The sequence below is a fragment of the Homo sapiens genome, chromosome 2 (genome assembly GCF_000001405.40).
Source record: "Homo sapiens chromosome 2, GRCh38.p14 Primary Assembly".
Taxonomy (NCBI): domain Eukaryota; kingdom Metazoa; phylum Chordata; class Mammalia; order Primates; family Hominidae; genus Homo; species Homo sapiens.
In genome coordinates, this window is record NC_000002.12 from 65,724,526 (window position 1) to 65,747,905 (window position 23,380).

The window sequence follows — 23,380 nt, forward strand, 5'->3', positions numbered from 1 at the left end:
CTTTGAGTCATGGCTTTGGACCAACTTCCTCTTGAAAGTAAGTTGAGAAATCTACAATTCCTAGATAGATGAACAAACTAAATATCCCCTGTACTCTGACAAACAAACAATCATTTACAAAACCAACAAAACTGCAGTAGGGTTTTCTCATTTTGTAGGGGAATATTTTAAGGACTGTTTCTCTACTTACCTTGAAAATTATGGGCATGTTCACCTGGGATTTGGGCAACAAGGTCCTCAGCGGCACCATCGCTGAATGACCAGACTTGATGGCAGGGCAGTTTGAAAGGTGATGCAGGAAACAGCACAGTAGCGTGGAAAATCTGGCTCTGGCTGTGACACCAATCCATCCCATGACTTGAACTAGCCCCCATCACCTTCCCTCAGCTTGCTTCACTGGCTTGGGATGGGAAGAAGAACACCTGCCCTCCCACCTTGCTGATCATAGGCGTTCCTGGAGAACATGTCAAATAATGAAGGTCCACATGCAACTTGTATATTGTGTGACTCATTTTGCTCATTGTAAATACTTGACTCACACTTTCTAGATGCCAGGTACTGTGCTTTATTTTAACTCATTTAATTCTTACAACAGTCCCACAAGGAGAGATTACTTTTATCTGGATTTTGCAGATGAGAAGATGAAGGCACATAGGAAGCAATTTGCTCAGGGTCACTTACAAATAGCACATTGTGTGATATTGTAATACAATGAGAAATATATTTTTAGTCTTTGTCTCTAGTTCCTGAAAGAGAGCTCCTGAAACTCTTGTGCTTTCCTGAGTGATAGGGGTGAAAGGAGCATCTTTTGTTATTCATGATAAGCCATTTTCAAACATACCTGAGTTATATAATGCTAATAATGCTAATAAGGTAACTCTTGGTGAGCCTCAAGATAATCTCGGAATGGGGGCTGGTTGCTAGAGGAACCAATCACTTGATTAGAGAATTGGAATTTTCAGTCCCTCACCCTGACTTCTGGAGAGGGAGAGGGATGGAGATTGAATTCAATCACCAATGGCCAATGATTTAATCAACCATGCCTGTGTCATGGAACACAGGAAACCTAAACAACATAAAAATCCTTAACAACAGGGTTTGGTGAGCTTCTGGATTGGTGAACACATTGAGGTGGTAGAAGGCTAGAGTTCAGGAGATGACATGGGAAGACATGGAAGCTTTGTGTCCCTTCCCATATACCTTGCTCTCTGCATCTCTTCCATTTGGCTCCTCCTGAGTTGTATCCTTTTGTAAAAAACCAGTATTAGTCACTAAACTGCTTTCCTGAATCCTATGAGCTGTTCTTTCAATTTATCAAACCTGAGAAGGGTTCAAAAAAACCCCCAGCTTATAGCTGGTTGGTCAGAAGTATGGGAAGCTTGGGACTTGTGATTAGCATCTGATATGGGGGCTGTCTTATGGGACTGAGGCCTTGTGGGATCTGATGCTAACTCCACATAGATAGCATTAGAAAATGGAATTAAATTGTAGGATTGAATTAAATTGTAGTTGGTGTCTGGGGAGTTGAAAATTAGTTGTTGGTGTGGAAAAACCCACACACTTGGCGTCAGAAGTGTTGTGAGTATAAACAGATTGTAGTAACATGGTACAGCCAGACTAAAACCCAGGCTGTCTGAACACAGTATGTTTCTAATAACTGCTGTAGTCCTCTATCTGACCTCCTTCAAAGTGTATTCAGTTTTGACGTATCTTTTTTCTTCCGGTGGTAGTGAGGGTTCTAATATTTCTGAATAAAGAGGTAATATGTTTGTGCAGCCTGAAGGAGGCCAGAACTACAGCTTAACTGTTGTGAGACCCTGTGGACTTCAGATTTCAGAATCTTGCCTTGTGGAAGATCATGGTTCAGTTTGAGGACTCTGATGTTTTTATTTTATTAGGTATTCCAAATGCACTACTGTTTTTTTCCCCTAGAGAATATTAAATTGTGTCCATATTGTATTTTTATAAATTGTAAAATTACTTCTGTAGCCACATCATTCATTTATATCATTAATATGTGACTTACAGTTGAGTTAGTGCCTCCTTGACAACAGTGATTATTGGCGTGCCTCTCAACATCCAGCAGAATGTGGGAATGTAAGTTACTCAGCACAAATCTTTTGATTTTATTTGTTTTTATTAATTTAAAAAATTACAACAACCTGCGTTCAGTGTGGAACAAATAAAATAATGCCAAAATGCCAACAAAAAGAAAGATAAAACCTCCTATAATCACACCACTCTGTGATAGTTATATAAAAGCAATATCTGTAGAGTTTTGTTTATAAAAGGCTGTGATTCAAGAATTTTATACCCAGCCAGGTTGTCTTTTATGTGTGAAAGTGACAGAAATATATTCTCTGTAGACCACGTTTCAAAAAAATTATATGATAGGCAATTTTCCTGGGCAAGATTTAACATGAATCTCTGTTGAAAAAATGCTTGAAGATAAATTCCAGGTGACCAAGGATGATAGATGCTAGAGTGAAGGATTAAAATAGGAAAGCTAGAGTATAAAAAAGGTTGGGAGTAAACACTGAAGCCAGTTAATGTATATTTATTTATATATCTAGATAATTATAAATATTAGAGACTATATATAAATGCTTTAATTTCTCTTTATTAAAATAAAAGCAAATATAAAAATATCACCTAGAAGATAATATAGTACAATAATAATTATGTGGTAATCTGAATCTATACCTCCAGCTAGCATCATCAAAATCTAAGATGGAAGCTCTGGGAATGGGTAGGGTGAAGGAATGGGTGGAAACAGTATGAGTGGAAATGAGGGCTGGGATGGATTTCAAGGCATCTGACTTGGACTACTAATCATTTGAAACTGGGGTTTGTTTATGCCCTGAAAATGAAATGTTATTAGTCAAGTGAGGATGATTATTATTTTAGGTAATGCTATTCCTTAAAATATTTAGCTAAGTGACTTCATGGCTTTTAGGCAATTACATAATTTCTGCATTTTGTTTGTTTTTGAGCCTGGTTGTCTCTGAGTTCCTGTTTTGGTGCTAATCTTCAGTGTGTGTTTCTGAAAGTAACCATGATGACAGGAAGCATATTTTTCTGTATGCCTATGACTGGTGTCTGACTACCCTACTGGTACTAGAGATTAAAAGACACTTTCCTGTAATTAATATTTTCCCCTGTGTTTTGTCTGAAAGTCGTTAAGTTGAAGCTGGAATTATAGATGTGTGTACATCTCTCTTTAAGGAAACACACAAAACAAATGGGAATTTACCAAATGATATCATTCTCCACTGACTGGATTTATATATGACACTTCTTGAATGTACTTTTCTCATAATGTGGGGGCACACCTGCATTGGAAATAGCTTCTTTGAGAAATGTTAGATGTTGCAATTTGGTAATATCTTAAGTGTGAATTTGTGTGTGTGTGTGGGGGCAGGGGGGAAGGGAGGATAAGGAAGGATTCACAGTGTTCAGAAGAGGACTGATGAGGCTCCCTCCATGAGCAGGCTAGTAGCGCAAAGCCTAATCAACACTTCTGTGAGGAAGTTAGCAGCCTTCCTTCTGACCTGACTGCTTCCGCTTCTGGTGGTGGCAGCGCTGTCAAGCCTCATTACTGGAAAGTTCATCTTGTTAAATTTCCACTTAGAGCAGGGGATGTGTTAGAAGATAGCTCAGACTCTGTGGCCATTATGACATCAAACTCAGACAGTGACATTCCAAGTGGTAGTCAAGGAGTTTTGTTTCTAGCTTCATTGAAAAATGTGAACATTGGCTGGGCACGGTGGCTCACACCTGTAATCCCAGCACTTTGGGAGGCCGAGGTGGCTGGATCATTTGAGGTCAGGAGTTTGAGACCAGCCTGGCCAACATGGTAAAACCCTGTTTCCACTAAAAATAACAAAAACAATTTAGCTGGGCATGGTGGTACATGCCTGTATCCCAGCTACTTGGGAGGCTGAGGCAGGAGAATTGCTTGAACCTGGAAGGTGGAGGTTGAAGTGAGCTGAGATCGCACCACTGTACTCCAGCCTGGGCAGTGGAGTGAGACTTCTTCTCAAAAAAAGAAAGAAAAAAAAAAGAAATGTGAACATTAATAAACAACTTAAGAAGTCACTGTATCTGCATACTACTGGATTAGATTTAACAGACGCAATCTTGGCTGAATAATGAAAGGAGTTTGGCATGAGTTCCAGTGTCAAAGCAGAAGTAAAAGCAAAACCAGTGATGGGCATAGGCTTGAAATATAATATATTAATACACTCACCAGGTAGTGCTGCATTAATAAATAAACTCAGAAATCTTAGGGAGTGAAGGCAACAAAGGCTTATTTCTTGCTTGCATAAAGTCCTATATGGGTTAGGCGATTCTCTGGGCAGCACTCCCTCTGTCTTGTTATGCTGCCATCTCAACAGGTGGCCTCCAGGGTTGCCAAGGCAAAGGACTAGAGGTCACTTCCTTATGCTGTGGCCCAGGAGAAACTCATATGACTTCTGCATACATTTCACTGGCTATGACTAGTCACATAGTCATACCTAACTGCAAGAGACCTGGGGAGTGGAGACTTCCTGAGTGACAGGAGGAGAGAAGGGTATAGGTGAGCACTAGAAGCCTTTACCACACATAGGAAGCGAGTGTGTATGGTCAGCATGGAATCGGGAATGGCCAGAGTCTGATGTTATTAATATTCAGCATGAGATTAATTTATATTGAACCTAATAATATCTTAATACATTTGTAAAAATAAATCAGCCTCTTTGGTTACCTTCCTTGGCCACTGGCCATGCCTTAGTAGGATTATCTACTATTAACATCCGGGTTCCTTATTCCAGTCTGGCCCATCTGCCTAACGTCCTGGCATCCTCCCTGCCTTGCAAGGGTCATCCCTCACTCTGTTTGTGAAACCCATAGCTGCATGGCACAGGCGGTAAGGGTGTGGTGAGACCTTACCAGGGCATGCTTCTCAACACCAGGAAGTACTTTTCTGATGTCATTGTTCTAGACATGCTGACACAGGCCCTACATAAGCAGAGAGGGCCCCCACCTTCCTCTCTGGTGAACGTCTATTGCTTCTCTGTATAGTGTTGTTGGTTGAAAGAGTGGTTTTAGGAGATAGACTGTCTAGGTCCAAATCTCGTCTCTGTCATTAGCAAAGAATGAGACCCTGAGCAAGGGACTTAACTTCACTATGCCTCAGTTTCCTCATCTGTGGATATAATAATAACACCTTCCTGTTAGAGTTGTTGTGATGATTAAGTGAGTTAATACATGAAAAGTGCTTAGAATAGTGCCTGGTGAGTGGAAAGTGATTAAAAAACATCAGCTATGATCACTCTACTTCAAGACTCAGTTCAAATGTAACTGAAACTTCCCTAAACTTGCTTCTTTTCTGGGTGCCTTCAGCACTCAGCAAATGTCTCTGTTATAACATTTATCATGGTATATAATAATTGTTAATTTACCCATTCTTCTCTCTCGTTAGACTGTGATTACTCAAGGGCAATGTACTGCTCACCATTTACTCTAGTCCTTGACAGAGTGTCTGACATAGAAAATACATTACCAAATGTTTTCTGAATTGATGGGCAGAGCCAGGGTGGTAGAAATTGCTACAATTCACCAATATACAGTTCTTTTGTCCTTCCTGTGCACAAAGCAAAGCTATGTTTCCCAGCTCCCTATGCATCTAGATGAACCACATAACTGAGTTCTGGAATGTGAGCAGAAATGATGTGTGCCACTTTTCAGGCTTGTCATAAACTCAATGCACAACCTTCCATGAGCTCCTTCTCTCCCTTTCATTCAATTGGCTGGATATGGTAGCATTTTAAGATAGAACGAGCCCAAATCTCTGAGTCACCGCTTGGAAGAGAGGGACCTAGACTTTAAAATTGTGTCAAGCTTTTGAAATCTGAACCTGTTTGTTATAGCAGTGAGTGTATTTACCTGGCTAATAAAACAAGAATCTGGACACAACATTTTTTTCTGCAGGTTTCATGGCATGATATGGCTCAATCCACAGACAAAGGCTGCTGAGCCCAGAACAGCTTATTGGACGAGCCCCTATGAGAAGCAGAAATGTATAGAAGCAAACTGAACCCAAGGAAAGATTGGTGATACTTTGGGAGGGATGACAGAGGAAGGGGAAACACACTGTCCATCCCTGTCCCAGCAAGGAGCCAGCTCCCATTCGGCAGTCCCTCTGAACATCTAGGTAGCTTCCCCCTTCTTTCTGTCCAGTTGTGAGCAGCCACCAACTATGATGCCCCTCTTCCAGCAGGCTTTGCTTTCACATCACAAAGCATCATCCTGAGAAACAATTACAGTTCTTTTTAGAGTTCTGGTTCCTTCATAGGTACCTATTGTCCTAATAAATGGAATTCCTTGGAACACAAAAGCATTTATTTCCTCTTTTAGCTAATTTAATTTTTACAGCTCTGGTGAAAAAATATTTTATGTTTTTACTCAATGTGATTTTAAGATAGCTTATTCTTGGATTCAATTTTGTTTTCATTTTCTAGAAAATCAATTTAATTCACAGAAGGTTCATTCATTTAGTGGCTTTCCTTGCACATGGTTAATGCTTAAGCATTTGATCAAGCATTCCTCTTAGCAATATCTTTACAAGGTTCAACCGGAGAAGGTGTTAGATGGGGGAAATCCTCTACATTTGGGCAAAGCCTCTTTCCTCTGGACTAATTGAAATGGAAAATCAGTCTGAATTGGTGAAATTGAATTGCAAACTATTTTTCAAGGAGATTCCTGTGTGATTTCAAGTTGCTCAAACTAAACTTAGAAAAGGGCACACTAACAAAGCTTTTTAAGTTATCTCCATCTAGCTTCCTAGTGAAGAGGCTACATTGTCTGGGTAAATACCTGGGGTTCGTCATCTCATGCCAAGAAAATTTAGGACACGGACCCACATGAGGAGTTTAGGAACGGAGATTTAATAGGCGAAAGAAAAGGAAAGGAAAACAGCTCGCTCTCTAGAGTGACAGAGAGGAGACTTCTGAGAGGAAAAGGCCAGCTGGCGGCAGATGAGCCAGGTTTTATAGTCCGGCTTGAGGAGGCGTCGTCTGATTTATGTGGGGCTCACACATTGGTTCAATCAGGTGTGACGTTTACAAAGCATGTGGGTAAGGCTGGTCACCCCACCCTAATCTTACTATGCAAATGAACATTCCCCTTGGCTGGCGGCTTCATTTTGTCTGCTCCTTAATGTACACGTGGCTGGCCAAGAAGGGAAGATGGAGCCGCCATTTTCTAGCTGCCATGTCTAGTCCCAGGTAGTTCTTTCCTGCCGGCATTCACCGTGAAAGCTCCCAGCGTGCTTGTCTATGTCTGCAGCTCAACTTCACAGGCTGCTCTTTGTTAGAAAATGATTTGGGGCAGCTTTTCATTAAAAGAAAAACGTTACCAAGGACTTCTGGACTATCTGCCTAAGTAATTTCTTCTTAACTCCTGTATCACTAGTAGTTAGAATCTATATTTGTACCTATATATATCTTACAAAATTCTCTTGGGTTCTTGAAAACTCTTTGCTCTCAAGTCCTTTAAACATTCCTCTTGTACTTTCGTTTACTAAATTATGAAGAAAGACTATTAGCAAAAGGAAGTCCCTGTCTGTATAATTGTAATTTGTGAATTATAGGCTTTTTTATTTAAAGTCGGGTGACAATTCATGCTTGGAAAGAAATTTGTTGACTAATTGATCATGAGTTTTTTTTTTTTTTTTTGAGACAGGGTCTCACTCTGCCGCCCAGGCTGGAGTGCAGCCGTGCGATCTCAGCTCACTGCAGCCTCTGCCTCCTGGGTTCAAGCAATTCTCCCGCCTTAGCCTCCTGAGTAGCTGGGACTATAGGCGCACACCACCATGCCTGTCTAAGTTTTGTATTTTTTGGTAGAGACGGGGTTTTGCCATGTTGGCCAGGCTGGTATCAAACTCCTGACCTCAAGTGATCCTCCCGCCTCAGCCTCCCAAAGTGCTGGGATTACAGGCGTGAGCCAGTGCGTCTGGCCTAGTCGATCATGTTTTTAGTGTTATAACTAAGGGATTTTTGGATTGAATGATAGGTGTTTTTGATTTGTTGGTGTGGCTTTGGAAAGGAACACTGGCACTTCTGAAGATATCAGTTCTTCCCTGGAAAGCGAAGTCAGAGATATCTATAAGGCAAAACTTGTGCTTTTCAGTGTCAGACATTGCTCCTTTATGTTTAGGGCACTGCTTGTGCTATAGCACAGAGGAGGCATATTGTGGAATGACATGTTTCTCTGAAGTGAACTTTAAAGTTCAATGAATAGATTTTACTTACACATAGGAAAGTATATGGTGGTCATGTAAAATGGAAATATGCCACTCTTGATGTTTTCTTCTTTGTGTTACAGATCTATGCCTTGATAGGTCTTCAGTTACTCATGGTGAAACATGTAAGCCTTGAAAAACTTTTTGGTGAGCTCATAGGTTATCTATAAGATGGTTTATGGCCATCTGTCTTATAGGGTAACAACATAATTTATCCTCCAAGTTTGGACACTTTTGAGAGTAAAAAGGGGAGTTATTAATCATTATGTCAAGGAAATAAGCAAAAATGGGACTTTTCTAAGCAACTTAGACATATGGTCATTCTACTTATGAGAAATATGTGTCTTTTATAGGTTAGATATTAGGTCCCATAAGAGCATGTGGCCAAGATGGCCAGCTCCACCAAAGATTCATACTTCCCCTTCCATAGTATGGAGTTGTGCTGGGAAGCAGTTTTCCCACCAGGGACAACATCTTCTAGTCCTTTTACATCTAAGTAGTACCATGAGACTGGATCATGCCAAAGAAATGTTTTGGAAGTGAGATGTTTCACTTTGGAACCAAGGAACTGAAAAAACAGGTATGCCTCCACCTTCCTCACCTTCCCCTCCACTCATCTCTATCTCCATCTGTAGGCTGAATGTAGACGTCTCCAGGACCCTAATGGAGGGAAGACCTACAAGATAGAATGATTCCGGGTCCCAAATGACCATGTGAAAGGCTGCCCGCTGGTCAGAAACATCCATATTGCAGTCTTTAGGGCACACAAAATTAAAATATATTAAGCCTCTTAGGTTGTCACATTTGTTATAGCAGCTAACATTACCATAGCTAATACTGAATACTTTAATTCAATACATCCAACCACTACTGAGAATCTACTATCTTTCCATTGGGAATACAAAGACATGTAAGATCTGGTCACTGTCCTCAAGAAGCTTAGAGTCTGGGGGAAGTACAGATGTATATATGTTATGGTAATTAAAAGTTCTGAATAAAAGGAGATGAATTTTGAATGCTGATTTGTCTGCAGCATATTCAAATGGCACTGTCTTCTATGTAGATAGAGGGAGCCCAAGCCAAGAAGAGAGGTCTGGTATCAAAGATTTGCTGAATTCACAATTGAAGAGGCTTATGTCAGTCCCTTAGAAAGAATTTGAGGACTCCTCGGAAAGTAAGAAAACTTCCCTCCACATTCCTAAGGATTTTTTATTTATTTTTATTTAAAAATGTTTTTTCTTACTTTATTTTTTTTTAAACTTTTAAGTTTGGGGTACATGTGCAGGTTCGTTACATAGGTAAACCTGTGTCATGGGGTTTGTTGTGCAGATTATTTTATCACCCAGGTATTAAGCCTAGTACCCATTAGTTATTTCTCCTGATCCTCTTCCTTCTCCCACCCTCCACCCTCCGATAGGCCCCAGTGTGTGTTGTTTCCCTCTATGTGTACATGTGTTCTCATCATTTATTTAGTTCCCACTTATAAGTGAAAACATGCGGTATTTGGTTTTCTGTTCCTGTGTTAGTTTGCTAAGGATAATCGCCTCCAGCTCCATCCATGTCCTGCAAAAAAAACATGATCTCATTCTTTTTAATGGCTGCCTGGTATTCTGTGGTGTGTGTTTACCACATTTTTAATGGCTGCCTAGTATTCTGTGGTGTGCGTTTACCACATTTTCTTTATCCAGTCTATCACTGATGGGCATTTAGGTTGATTCCATGTCTTTGCGATTGTGAATAGTGCTGCGATGAACATGTGGGCATGTGTCTTTATGGTAGAATGATTTATATTCCTTTGAGTGTATACCCAGTAATGGGATTGCTAGGTTGAATGGCATTTCTGTCTTTAGGTCTTTGAGGAATTGCCATACTGTCTCCCAAATAGTTGAACTAATTTACACTCCTACTACTACGGGACATAAACATTCCTTTTTCTCCACAACCACACCAATGTCTGTGTTTTTAAATTTTTTTTTTTAATAATAGCTATTCTGACTGGTGTTAGATGGGATCTCATTATGGTTTTGATTTGCATTTCTCAAATGATAATTGCTGTTGAGCTTTTTTTCTTATGATTGTTGGCTGCATGTATGTCTTCTTTTGAAAACTGTTCATGTCCTTTGTCCACTTTTTAAAGGGGTTGTTTGTTTTTTTCTTGTAAATTTGTTTAAGTTCCTTACAGATGCTGGATATTAGACCTTTGTCAGATGCATAGTTTGCAAAAATTTTCTCCCTTTCTGTAGGTTGTCTGTTTACTCTGTTGATAGTTTCTTTTGCTGTGCAGAAGCTCTTTAGTTTAATTAGATCCCATTGATCAATTTTTGCTTTTGTTGCAATTGCTTTTGTTGTCTTTGTCATGAAATCTTTGCCTGTGCCTGTGTCCTGAATGGTATTGCCTAGGTTGTCTTCCAGGGTTTTTATAGTTTTAGGTTTTACATTTAAGTCTTTAACTCATCTTGTGTTAGTTTTTGTATATGGTGTAGGGAAGAGGTCCAGTTTTAATCTTCTGCATATGGCTAGCCAGGTAAGTATTCCAGCACCATCTATTGAATAGGGAATCCTTTCCCCATTGCTTGTTTTTGTCAAGCTGTCAAAGATCAGATAGTTGTAGGTGGGCAGTCTTATTTCCAGGTTCTCTATTCTGTTCCATTGGTCTATATGTCTGTTCTTTTATCAGTACCATGCTGTTTTGGTTACTGGAGACCTGTAGTGTAGTTTGAAATCAGGTAGTGTGATGTCTGCAGCTTTGTTCTTTTTGCTTAGGATTGCCTTGGCTATTTAGGCTCTGTTTTGGTTCCATGTGAACTTTAAAAATAGTTTTATCTTGTTATGTGAAGAATGTCAATGGCAGTTTAATGGGAATAACATTGAATCTATAAATTGCTTTGGGCAGTATGGCCACTTTAACGATATTGATTCTTCCTGTCCATGAGCATGGAATGTTTTTCCATTTGTTTGTATGATAAAGATGCTTTTAGATGCAGCTGCACTGTACCCTATTAGGGCTCACTCCACCAGTGGGATTTGTGCTCTGAAGATCTCTTGGCCACTGACTTCATATTGCGAAAGAAATGTATCTCTAGATCCTTTTTGTAGTTTACACATTACTTTCATGAACATTGCTTAGTTTGAATCTCATATTCACCCTGTGGTGTTGACAGGGGAGTTCCCTTTCCCACTGAATGTCCCCAGGTCTTGGCCACCGTCAAGTAGGGGACATATTTAATATGACCTAATGGCTCAATTCTGAAGGCACTCAGCCCATTCTTCACCTAACTGTGGGACCTCTTGAGCTCTCTTTGGGATTCCTCTATTGTTTCTGGGGTCCCCCAGGGATGCCTCACTTGGGCTCAGGAGCCAGGACTCACATATTCTGTCACATTGTGCTGGCAAATAGTTTTCCACCCATATTCAGGCTGATGATGGGGCTGCTCCCAGTGAGATTAAAGGAACCTTCTACTCTTCTGTTCCTTCTGTCAGACCCATGTTCGCCAACTCCTACTTTTCTAGCGAAGGAACATCTATCGACACCTGCGAATAGATGTCTGGAGGCATGGGTGTCACCCCCACACTAGATGTGTCAAGCCTTAGTTTTGAAGGTACTAGTTTACCCTTGTATGTACACATAATACACACACACACACACACACACACACACACACACACAAATGCACACAGTCTGAGACTCAGAGACATGACTAACACATTCTAGGCCATCCCATTTGTTTTTTTCATAAACTGGATGTAGAACCCAGGACTTCTTACTCCAAATCTAATGTTCTTCCCTTTGCCTATCCTGATTTAAAGAAAAAATGTTCTATAAAAAAGTTGCTCAGATATGCAGAATTACCTGCTAGAAGCTTGAACCAGTACCACAGTAGAAACTCTGCTTTTTGCTTCATTCTGTAGAACTTAGGGAGGCTGCTGTGCCCATCCCTGGGAACTCTCAGGAGAGATGGGTGAATAATGGGGGCTTTGTCATAGGAGCACCCTGAAATCTTCCCCCAGTGTGAGTGGTGTCAATGTTTTCATTATTTTTGACTGTGGTTTGTAACTTGTCATAAGAATTAGTTCTGGCTTAATTGAGGGCCTCATGTTGGGGTGAGAGAAGGAAGTGTTGTGGCCTCTCAAAATGCCTTTTATAGGATCCTGACACTCTAGGGCTTGGCAGATACAGCTGGGAGCAGTAGCACGTGGGAAGGGGATGATCCCCCAAGCGTTCGCGGTCCAGCCCCCTCTTGGTTTCTGACTTGGAGATTGCTTAAAGGTCTCTTGGGGAGTAGAAACAGTTGTTTGTTCCCCCTTCTTTTCTTTACCTCTTAAAAAAAAGTCTTTATTCTGGGATTGTACTGCTTGAAAGGAAGAAGGCCTCTGGGCAGCATGTGATATGTTTCTTCCCCAATTCCCTTGGAAAAAGGTATTCAGTCCTCGGGTGAATTCTAAGCTCTGCTTTGGACCTTTCAAGTCTTCTTGATCAAATCATGCTAATCTTATGTCCATTCTTTCTTCTCTACGCTAATCAGATGCACTAATTCATACTGAACTGTTAGTAGGTTAAAGTGTGATGCTATGTCAATACGCTAAAAATATCCTTACATTTTTCCAGAGACTTTTATTGTCTCAATGTAAAGCTTTCTCCAACCAAGCCATGGAATCCTCCCTTTCCTCTGATTCCCTGGGCAGATTCTCAAACTTTAGTGAGCAGCAGAGCAGCCTTGGCAGATTGCTAGGCCTGCCCCAGAGACACTAGCCCAAACATAGGTGAAGCCGTTGAAGCATGCCACGGTATCACATGAGAAGTAAGCAGTGAACTATGCAGATCTTTCTCAATACCCCTCCCACCATGCCTGGAAATCTCCCTATTAATGCCTTCAAAAAATGTGCACTTCATACTTGCTATGTGGAAGGCTGTAGGCTTGGGGCCAGGAGCCAATCCTGTACTCTAGTGGAGGAATCAGCACACACATTTACAACACACTCTAATAATTACCAATAGGAGGCAGCTGAGAAGGGAAGTGCGAAGAAGAACCCTAGGGCGGTGTTACTCTAAGTGTAGTTCCTGCACTGACAGCAGCAGCATTACCTAGAAGCTAGTTAGAAATGCAAATTCTTAGGTCCCACCCCAGAGCCTTTTGCCTGTGGAAGTCAGGTTAACCTGTGAACACCCTCCATCCTTTGCTTATACCTCAGGTTGCCCCTTTCTGTCTTGGGCACTGACAGGTCACAGCTTGCTGGTGATGACATAAAGAGAAAATGAATGACCTGTAATTCTGTCATCCAGAGATAACCGCTCTCACTATTTAGTGTATACCTTTTCAGATTTATTTCCATGCAATGTAGGTATACATAATGAAAAACAACAGAGAAACAAAATTCTATTATATCACAATACTGCTTTTTGAATTTCTTTTTACCGCAATTAACACTACGGCGGACTATCTTTCCATGTAAGTAAAGTTATGTTTGCCACCTTAATTTTAATAACAGCATGGTATTTCCTTGTATGGACATATTATAAATCACTTAGCTATTCCCTATGGTACAAGTCTTTCCACATTTTTAGAATCTCTAAACAACTTTCAGAAGAATATCCATGCACATACATCTTTGTGCATATTTGAAATAATTCCATTAAAATTAAGTAGGTTCTTTTCTGTAATGTGTACTTCAGATGTAATTTGCAGAACATTTGTGTCAGAGAGACTCATTTAAGAGATGAAGACTTCCCGTTTAATAAGTACTATTAATCACGATGCCAGTCATCCATTTTATAATCAAAAGTACACGAAGATAGAACAAATTGTGCTGAAGTATTTTTATTTTACATAATTAATGGACTTAAGGCCATTGGTAAAGGACCTTGTCAGTTATCATGGGACAAATACACTCCAGCAAATGTAAGCAGTGAGATAAGACTCTATCTTATGTTTTTCAGTTTGCTGCTTGCTGAAATGCATCTTGAATTTTTGGAAACAAAAGTGAGTTTCTAAAATAAGTGGAAGATCTGCTTATACAACTCTGATTTTAAAATAAGTCTATACACAGTATCAGCAGATTGATTAAGAAGTCTGCTGGTGGTGATATTAAAAAGTTTGGCAGATTTTCAATTCAGATTGACACTATTCAAGACAGAGGCATAGCTGATGTTTATTCAAGAATCCTAAGACATATCACAGATTCCGTGGAGAACATCTGATATCTATAGAGAGCTTGAAGTAAAGTCCTGGGAAAAATATGTTCCAGACGGTTACAGATGTTCTCATATCAAATCATATTTCTATGAAAAGTTATGTAGCATGTTCAACTGATGGCACAGCCAATGTGAAGGAACAATTTAAGGTTTTCTTCCTGTTAAAAAATAATTGATTCTATCAACTTTATGGGTAGTGTTAGTCACATATTTTGAGTGTTGCAATGGTAGATTTAGAAGATGTCTGAACCTCCAGTTAATCCCACAAAAATTTGAGTCTGTGGTATCCACTTAGAACAATATGCATGCTGCAAGCCGTGTAGAAACTCCCTGAATCTTAACTGAATGTTTTACCAAATTAAGCACATTTCGTAAGTCCTCAGGTATCACATCACACCAGTGCATACATGATTGTTTCAGATGTTGGTTCTGAGGCATTAGACATGGTGGAAGGCTACAAAGAGTGCCCTGAAAAGGATTAAAAGGGCTTTGTCATTCCCTTGTGGGAACTAATGGAAACTCAGGAGAACATATTCCCACATTGGAGATTTTGGTGTAAACACCAGACCAATGACAAAGACATCCAAAGAATTATCACGGAGGCTTCTTTTTAGATTAACTTGTCTGCAGAAAAATTTGACCTGGAAATGCCACAGTTCAGAATATGGATACTGAAACCATCAAAATGAGATGAAGTCAAGAAGACAGAAAAGGTTTAAGTATTTTATGAGTAAGAGGGGCTCTTAAAGGCAGATGTGAACTATTGATAATACTCTAGAAGGTTCTTCACCTCAACTGTGTTTGTATGTGATTTAAGGATGATTTGAGAAAATAAGTTGCCATTCAATGATATTTTCAGGGTATTTACAGAATCTCAGTGTAGTTACCCACCTGCCTTATGTTTTGCTGAAGCAAACATCTTTTTAAGAAGTATTCCTAATCTGCTGAAATAATTTCTACTGAGATCTAAAACATCCACTTTGCAAAGCAGAGCTCAATTTGACACTGAGAAATTTAAGGAATTATCCAAGTTTGCTGTGGCTTAGGCTATGATAAATTGATGTGTTTACCCTGTGACTGTGCTGGTGAATGTACAGTGATTTAAGGAGCCAGGAAAGGGAGACAAGGAGGTGGCCTTAGTGCTAAAATTAACCCTGGTGCTAGGGTGATCAACCATCCAGGTTTGCATGGGATTGGGGGTGGAGGGTTTCCTAGGATGCACAACTTCCAGTGCTAGAAACAGGTCAGTGCAACAATAATCGCTCTGTGGGTCATCAAGACTGTGACTTTGTGGGAATGGACCCACCTCTCTGTTTCTTTTAATACCTGTTTCCCCTTCTAAAATGCCACTGAGACCCATTTAAACATAACTTCATCTGGATATCACCGTGGGAGGCAGGTACATGCATGTGTCTGCACACAAAAAACATGCCCACCTCTCTCTCTCTCTGTCTTTGATTGTTTGCCTCAGGCTCCGCCTTCAACATCCATGTTAGGAATCACAGAAAAACAGACTCAAGAAAGATTTTTACAATAAGGGCTTTTACAATATATACAATACAATATATATATATATATATTTTTTTGAGACGGAGTCTCACTCTGTTGCCCAGGCTGGAGTGCAGTGGTGTGATCTTGGCTCACTGCAAGCTCCACCTCCCGGGTTCAAGCCATTCTCCTGCCTCAGCCTCCCGAGTAGCTGGGATTACAGATGACCACCACCACGCCCGGCTAATTTTTTTTTTTTTTGTATTTTTAGTAGAGGCGGGGTTTCACTGTGTTAGCCAGGATGGTAGTGATCTCCTGACCTCGTGATCCACCCGCTTGGCCTCCCAAAGTGCTGGGATTACAGGTGTGAGCCACCGCGCCAGGCTGAGTTTGTCTTATATTAAGAAAAATAAAACACGCTGACAAACAGTTACATCAGCAGAAAGAATGTGATAAATGCCCTAAGAAAGATGCCAACAAAGTGCTATAGGAGTTCATAGTCATTAGGGTTTTCATTTATTTAGTTCACAGGTGGGTGGTATTTGTATTGAGTCTTGAAGAGGGTGGCGATGGGCAAAGATTAGGGAAAGCAGGTTTCTGGGGCATGCAAATTGCTTAAGATTTGGGGGGGGTCCCTGCTCTCAAATCACTTACGTTCTAAGTGGGAGATGGAACAGTGAACAGTAGAGCCATGGGAGGTCAGGGAAAGGAAAACATTGATCTGTGTCAGGTAGAGAGGAAAGATGTAGTGGTGGGTGGTGCTGTGAAAAAGGACTAGGTTTTTAGTGAGCAGAGGCAAGCTGGGGGACACCCAGGTAGAGTCTTGGAATGTAAGCAGAAGGCCAGAGGAAGGAGTAAGCACCGCCATATTTTCTGACACCAGGAGGTGCCTGGGGCATGGTACGTGTGTCTGGGAGTGTGGGAAGAGTTGGGCTAAGAGGATGGCCCAGATGACTGAGCTCTAGAAGGCCACAGTGGTAGTATGGGAGCTTGGCTTTAAAGAAATGAAGCCAATTGGAAATTGTAAAGACTTCTTTGGGACGGTTGGGATGACTTGTTAAAAGTACTTGCTTAGAGATTCTTCTGTCAGTTGTGCACAAGATGGCTCAAAATGTGGGAGGGGGAGAACCTTCTTCAAAGGTTCTTTCAACAATCCCAGAATAAGTAAGTGAGCATGCACTGGGTGTGGGGTTCATCTGGATGGAGAGGCAGGAGGAAATGTGGTAGACATTTTGAAGGAGGATGTGACAAGTGGATTTATGGACAAATTGAGTCAAGGGGATGAAAGAAGAGTCAATTTACTTATCTTTAAAGTAAAGGTTTTTCAAGATGATCTGTAACATTCCTTTCTGTACTGGGAATTCATAACTTCCAGGTTTCTAGACTTAGGTACTGGAAAAATGCCAATACTTTACTTCCTACCTCTTTTCCATCACTTAAACCCTTTTATTCAGTACCAGATATTGTAGGGAGTAAGGATGTAGACCTGTCTATGGAACACTTTTCAGTTTAGGAGGAGCTATGGACATTTAAACATATAACTGTAATTTGGTATGATGGGTACTATTGTGGAGTTATAGTCAAAGGACTAGGAGAAAACCAAGGAAGGAAGCACAACCAACTCTGCCTGGAAAAGTGGAGACGAGTTGACAAGGGTGATTAAGGGTTTGTTAGGCTATATATGGGGGTCGGGGGCAAAGAAAAAACATAATGGGAGAAGCATGAATGAGACTGATGTGCAGGACCCTACTGGTGACTTGTCTGGCTGGAACCTAGGGTGGATTGAAGTGAGAGAGGAAGGGAGGAGGGAAATGGGAGATTTGTTAGCAGAGTTAGATTGTGGTCAAATGAAAGAGGACCTCATTCCATGACAGGAATTTGGACCTCATCTTCTTGCTGATTATGAGTTAGTAGAGATCTTTAAGGACAGTAGTAAATGATCCAACTTGTGTCTTAGGAATTAACTCTGATGACCCTGAAGAGGGTGGACTACAATGGGAAGAGGTTGGAGACAAGGAGGCCAATAAGAGATTATTAGAATTCAGGCAAAAGACAATGCATAAATGGGTTACTTGGGAAGGTATTTGGGGAAAGTTGAGTTCAATTTTGAAACTATGTTTTAAGAGGTGGCAGGGCATTCATTTATAGATTCATTTTTTCCCTTGTGCTCAAATCTTTATTAACTTTGCCAGGTACTGAGGGTAAGAAGATAAATAGATCACTACCGTGACCTCCTTCAGCTCATTTGCAGTGATTCTCACTTTTTTTTCTGTGCCAACACTCTTAAGAGACTTGACACTCAATTTTGGGAGTAGGATGGCAGGGGATGAGAAGGGGATAGGAAAGGAGTAAGAATATGGAGGAGGGAGTATGTCCTTAATGGAGAAATAGCAGAATGTGGGGCGGCATGATGTGCAGATATCCCCCTTCCCCAGGGGGATGAAACACCTGCGCCTGTTTCATTTAGGAGACTTTCAGCTTTCAGTAATAGAATACCCTACTCAAAATGGCTTAATCAATAATGGCACTTATTATGATATATAACAAGAAATTCATGGATGGCCATCTCAGTTGCTCAGTAATGTCACTGAGAAACCAGATTCCTTATGCCTTTCCAATCTGCCATCCTTAGCATGTTCCTCTCGGCCTATTTCCTCTCATGGTTATAAGACAGCTGCTGCAGTTCCAGGCATCACAGGCAGAGGTGACTATGTCTAGCAGAAGAAAGAGGCCTCTTTCTTCCTTGTGCATCTTTTTGTTTTCTTATGAGCAAAGAATCCTATCCCAGAATCCCCAGCAGACTTCTCATATCTCAATAGCCAGAACTGGGTTGGAGGCCCACCCTTGAACCTATCACTGGCAAAAGAAAGGGGGAGGCAGGAAACACTGGAAACAAAATTATGGCTATTAGCAGAGAAGAAAGTGAAAATGGCTTTTGAGTAGGCAAACATTCCTTCTGCTGAAATTTGCTGGATGTGGGAAAGAATTTCTTTGCATTTGGAAATAGAGCATTTGTTGCAGATAAGCAGTTTGGGATTAGAGAGATAGATTTGAAATATACTGGAAAAGAGATAGAGTGTTTTTGTTTGTTTTTTAATTTTTTTTAAAAAAACTAACCTGACATAAGTTTTGTGCTTCTTACATCTTAATTCACGGAACCTCATCAGGACACTGACAGTCAGGCCATTTTCACTGAGGAAAATGAAGCTCAGAGAGGTTGAGGAACTGGGGATGGTCACACAGTTAGTAGATGGCAAAGCTGGCAATGGATATGCTCACTTTCATCTAATTATGGAGAATTTTGAACATACACAGAAGTAGACAGAATGGCATGATGAGTGTCCCATGTATCTGTACTTAGTTCCAATCAACAACAGCTCTTTGCTAATCTTCTAGTCACCCCCCTCCTCCCTTCCCTCTGTTATTATTTTGGAGCAAATTCCCCACCATTGTATCATTTCATCACTAATTATTTCAGCATGAATCTCTACAAGATAAGGTCTTTTTTCTTTTAAAGATAATGACAACCATTATACCCAAAATATTTAACAACACTTTTTTAATATTAAATTTTTAGGTAGTGCTTAATTTTCAAATTATCTCATAAATATCATCTTTTTTTACAGTTCATTTGAATTAAGATCCAAGTAAGTTCCACACATTGCAATTGATTAATAATGTTTTAATTCTCAATCTATAAATTCTTCCTCCATGTCTTCCTGTCTCTCTCTCTCTCTCCCTCTTTCTTTTATATAATTAATCTTTGGAAGAAATCAAATTATTTGACTGGAGAGTTTCTTACAGTCTGGATTTTGCTGGTTGTATCCCCATGATGTAGTTTGACATATTCCTCTGTCCTCTATATTTCCTATAAATTGGAGTTGGAGTGACAGGTTTGGTCAGATTCAGGTTGAATTTTTTTGCAAGGATACTTCATAAGTGGTGCCATCTTCTTCCATTATGAGGTTCTCTTTCCCTTGGTGATGTAGCAGCCACTGATGCTCAATGCCTGGATCCCTTAATTTACTAGAGGCTACACAATGGCGATTTCATCATCAATAGTTTCTTCTTTATGGATTTGCCAGAAGAGCTGAGATTTAAAAGCCTGTCTGACTCAAGAAGGTGCCACTGCTATTTGAGAGGAAGTGTCATGCCAGGGGTGGAAAGCAGAAGGGAGGACAATTTCAAAGCAATTGAGACAGTACAGAAGTATACCCTGAAAAATAAGGTTGTCTGGGTTGTTTATACCCACAAATTAGCTAGTCACAAACATATAACCTGGTTAGAATTGTGGAGTATCATACATCAATCACAGTGATCATATCATGGCGTAACCCCAAAACACATGTTGATTATTTACATTTTAGTGTGCTGTGCTTGAATAATATTTTTCCCTTGAAATCTACAAGTCTCTCTGTCAGAGGGACAGAGAGAACACAAGTGATGATGTTTTAGTGTGCCTAAAGCATGATGAAATAATAGAAGGCATTGCACCACGAGCAGGACAGTTTGAAGTCAGTGAGCGTCTCCGGGTAATCCACATAATTTATTTTGCAGTCACAAAATTACAAAGCACTCTAGCAGGCATTGTGAGCCTCATGAAGGAAATAGAAAACTCACAAACCAAGGAGGGGATGGGGCCGATGAAATATACCTCAAGACAACAGTGGCAGAAACATAAATGGGTATAAACACCATCTGCTCTATTGTACCTCATGGCTAGAGCAGGGCTTTCAGAAGGGTAAGAACGAAAGAATTGAGGGAGGTTGGTAGAATTCTTGTAGGAATTGAGGCAGGTGTGGAAGCTCCCCAGACAGGAGAACCCGGAGCCTGTGTGAGGGAGGAGAAGGAACACCTGAGATAGTCTGGAGTTGGGATGCTCCTGAGGGTAACGTCAGAGAGGGAAGAAGCACCCACTCCATCCATAGATGAAAACACATTTCTGAATTATATTTACAAAAATTATACTTCTGTGGAAGAGGAAAGGGGGTGTTTTTCCCCTCAGAATTACATAATGTTGAAATTATTGATTTGATTTCTCCATTAGATTTACTGTCAATTCTTGTTATTCATGGTAGTTTTGTTCTATAAAGTCAGAAGAACACTGAAATAGCAAATACTGAGCTATTGCTCCTAGGCAAAATATAGGGTTAGGTTTCTGCTAGCCTCTGGTCACAATTTTGTCAACTGATCAATACGTAACCTTGCTTTATGTGTGTTTCTGTTTAAAAACATTTAATATATATTGTTGATTCATTAACATTGAATGATGGTCAACAGAACTATAACTCATGCCTGAGTGAAACTTATCTGACACACTTCTGTTCTCTATAAGGCACCTCAGAGCCGTCCTGAACTTAGGAACACTGGGCAGAACTTCAGCCCTACCCTTGAGGGGCATTGTAAAGAGCAAAATCACTAACGAAAAGCACAAAAATGCAAAAAAAAAAAAAAAAACCAAACTGTGGTACTAAATAGAGTGCAAAAAGCACATTTGTTTACAATATGAGAGCTGAAATAAGAAGGTAGAGCATTGTCTTGTTCAAACCTCAGCTGGGCATATGTGCGTGGGCCAGGTTAAATTTTTTGCTGTTCTGCCCATGTCTGCAAGTAACCTCAAGAGTGCCCACTTGGGGATTACAAATAAAGTTTAGTGAGTTGGTGGATTTGTAAATATGGAATCCATGAGACTCAACTATAATTTGAAAACCAGTATTGAAAGATAAACTCGGGTTGGAGGTGGGGTGGAGAATTGCAACAGGTTTTCTGGGCTTCTCCAGCACGATCAGGTTGTATCACTCAGCTAGGCGTCCAAATCCTATTGATAAAGGCCTTTTTGTTGGAGAGGGAAGAAGAGGAAGAGAGGAGGTGTGGCCTTCAGAGAAGTAAGGAGAAACTGAAGGAGTTGTGTGAGGGCTTAGGAATCCAGGAAGTGGGGGCATAAGAGTAATGGAGGAAGTCTCTGGAATCAGGACAGCTGAGTACAAAAAGCTTGGACAGGGGAGAGCAGAAGGAGCAGGAGGAAGGAGACCACCATGAATGCTAGAACCACACTGTGATTTGGGTCAGTGTAGCGAAAGCTCAGTAAGTCAGATTGGTTTTTTGGCGTAGGGCCGCCGTACTTATCCTTTGCTTGGAGCTCTGTGACTGAGTTTTTTTACTTTTCAACCAATTGTGGTACCCCCTGTGGACTGCTGGAGAGGGAGGGACAGCCATGGGTTCTGGTTCCGCCTTTGCTGGCCACATTAGAGATGGCTTGGGTGGAAGCCTCATGCCACAGAGTTATTTGTGGATGATTTAAAGAAGGATGCAGAACTGTTTTTCACTCACAAAGAGAAAATTAATGCTAGAGATTTGATCCTTTAAGAGGTCTTTGAACTTGTAAACCCAGACACATATGTGTCAAGAATGGAAACTGGCAAAGACTGTATTCCATAGTTTGAACTTAATTGCATTTGGTATGTACTTGAAAAGATAAAATATCCCAAGACGTTTAACTTTAGAAAGTCATTCTGTTGTGCTGCACAGTAAGTCATTTTCACAAGGATCTGGCCGAGATATTCAGTATCAACATGCAGGAATGGTTTCAATATGTGGTAGGCCAATAAAAAGAAAGTCACTCTGACCCACACTTTGCAGATCTAAGAAGGACAGAGGAGCAAGTAGTGATAATTCGTTCCAGTTTCAGGGAAATACTGTAACTCTGCAGCCACATGCCTCTGTCCTGCCCGCTGCGCTGTGTGTCTCTCAGGGAGGGGGGCTTAACGTCCCAATCTATGCTTCTCAGGTGGGCACTGCACATGACGTGGTTACGCAGGGAGGCCTGAAAGTGGGTCCTGTGGAGATAGGGAGTGTTGGTTTGATCTGAAATCATGGGACTCACAGAATTGGCCACTGGGTTTGGAAAACCCTCCGTAGGAGCAAGCCTCAGTGAGAGGAAATAGGACCGTCCCACTCCCCCTTGCTTTGCTGCTGGCTAGCACAGGCAGGAATGCTGCCCAGAGCCTTTGACCCACTTCCCTGCTTCTAGGACAGTCAGAGCCCAAGCAGTGGGGGGTCTGCTTACTCTTCCCCCTGGCCTTAATTCATCAGTGTTCCCTTTCTCCTCTCAGCCTGGGGTTGGAGGGGTGGTGGAAAAGAGGGTCTTTCCTTCCTGGTGTTAAAAAACGGATTTAAGCATATGTGTAGGGCAGGGGAGGGAGGAAGGAAGGGTGGGACCTCTGGAATCATACCCATCGTACTCAAATAGTCCTCAAAGTTTTTGCTGTTCTGCTTATATCTGCAAATGACCTCAAGAGTGCCTGTTTGGGGATTTGTAAATATGGAATCCATAGTCTCCAAAATGGAGACTTTATTTATTTATTTATTTATTTATTTATTTAGTAATTGACATGATCTTGCTGTGGGGTTGCTGTTTA

General features: G+C 40.8%; 1 long non-coding RNA gene across 5 annotated transcripts in view, besides 1 other annotated feature; it reads left to right on the top strand.

Moving 5' to 3' along the window:
- Positions 1-806: 806 nt before the first annotated feature.
- LOC105369167 (uncharacterized) overlaps positions 807-23,380 on the top strand; it is a 29,572-nt gene continuing 6,998 nt past the window's right edge. The window contains exons 1-3 of one of the 5 annotated variants that reach the window (XR_940199.3): positions 807-1,240; positions 2,055-2,097; positions 5,974-6,379. This is a non-coding gene — a long non-coding RNA (uncharacterized LOC105369167). Of the gene's footprint in view, positions 1,241-2,054; positions 2,098-5,973; positions 6,380-8,280; positions 8,865-9,347; positions 9,459-23,380 lie in introns of those variants that run through there. The other 4 variants (XR_940198.2, XR_940200.2, XR_940196.2 and 1 more) reach the window with 4 other exon arrangements.
- Positions 22,750-23,044: a silencer, noted in NCBI's record as "tiled region #8914; K562 Repressive non-DNase unmatched - State 3:PromF". NCBI's record gives its function as "represses a minimal TATA promoter and a strong SV40 promoter by Sharpr-MPRA in K562 cells {active_cell/tissue: K562}" and the evidence as "EXISTENCE:reporter gene assay evidence [ECO:0000049][PMID:27701403]".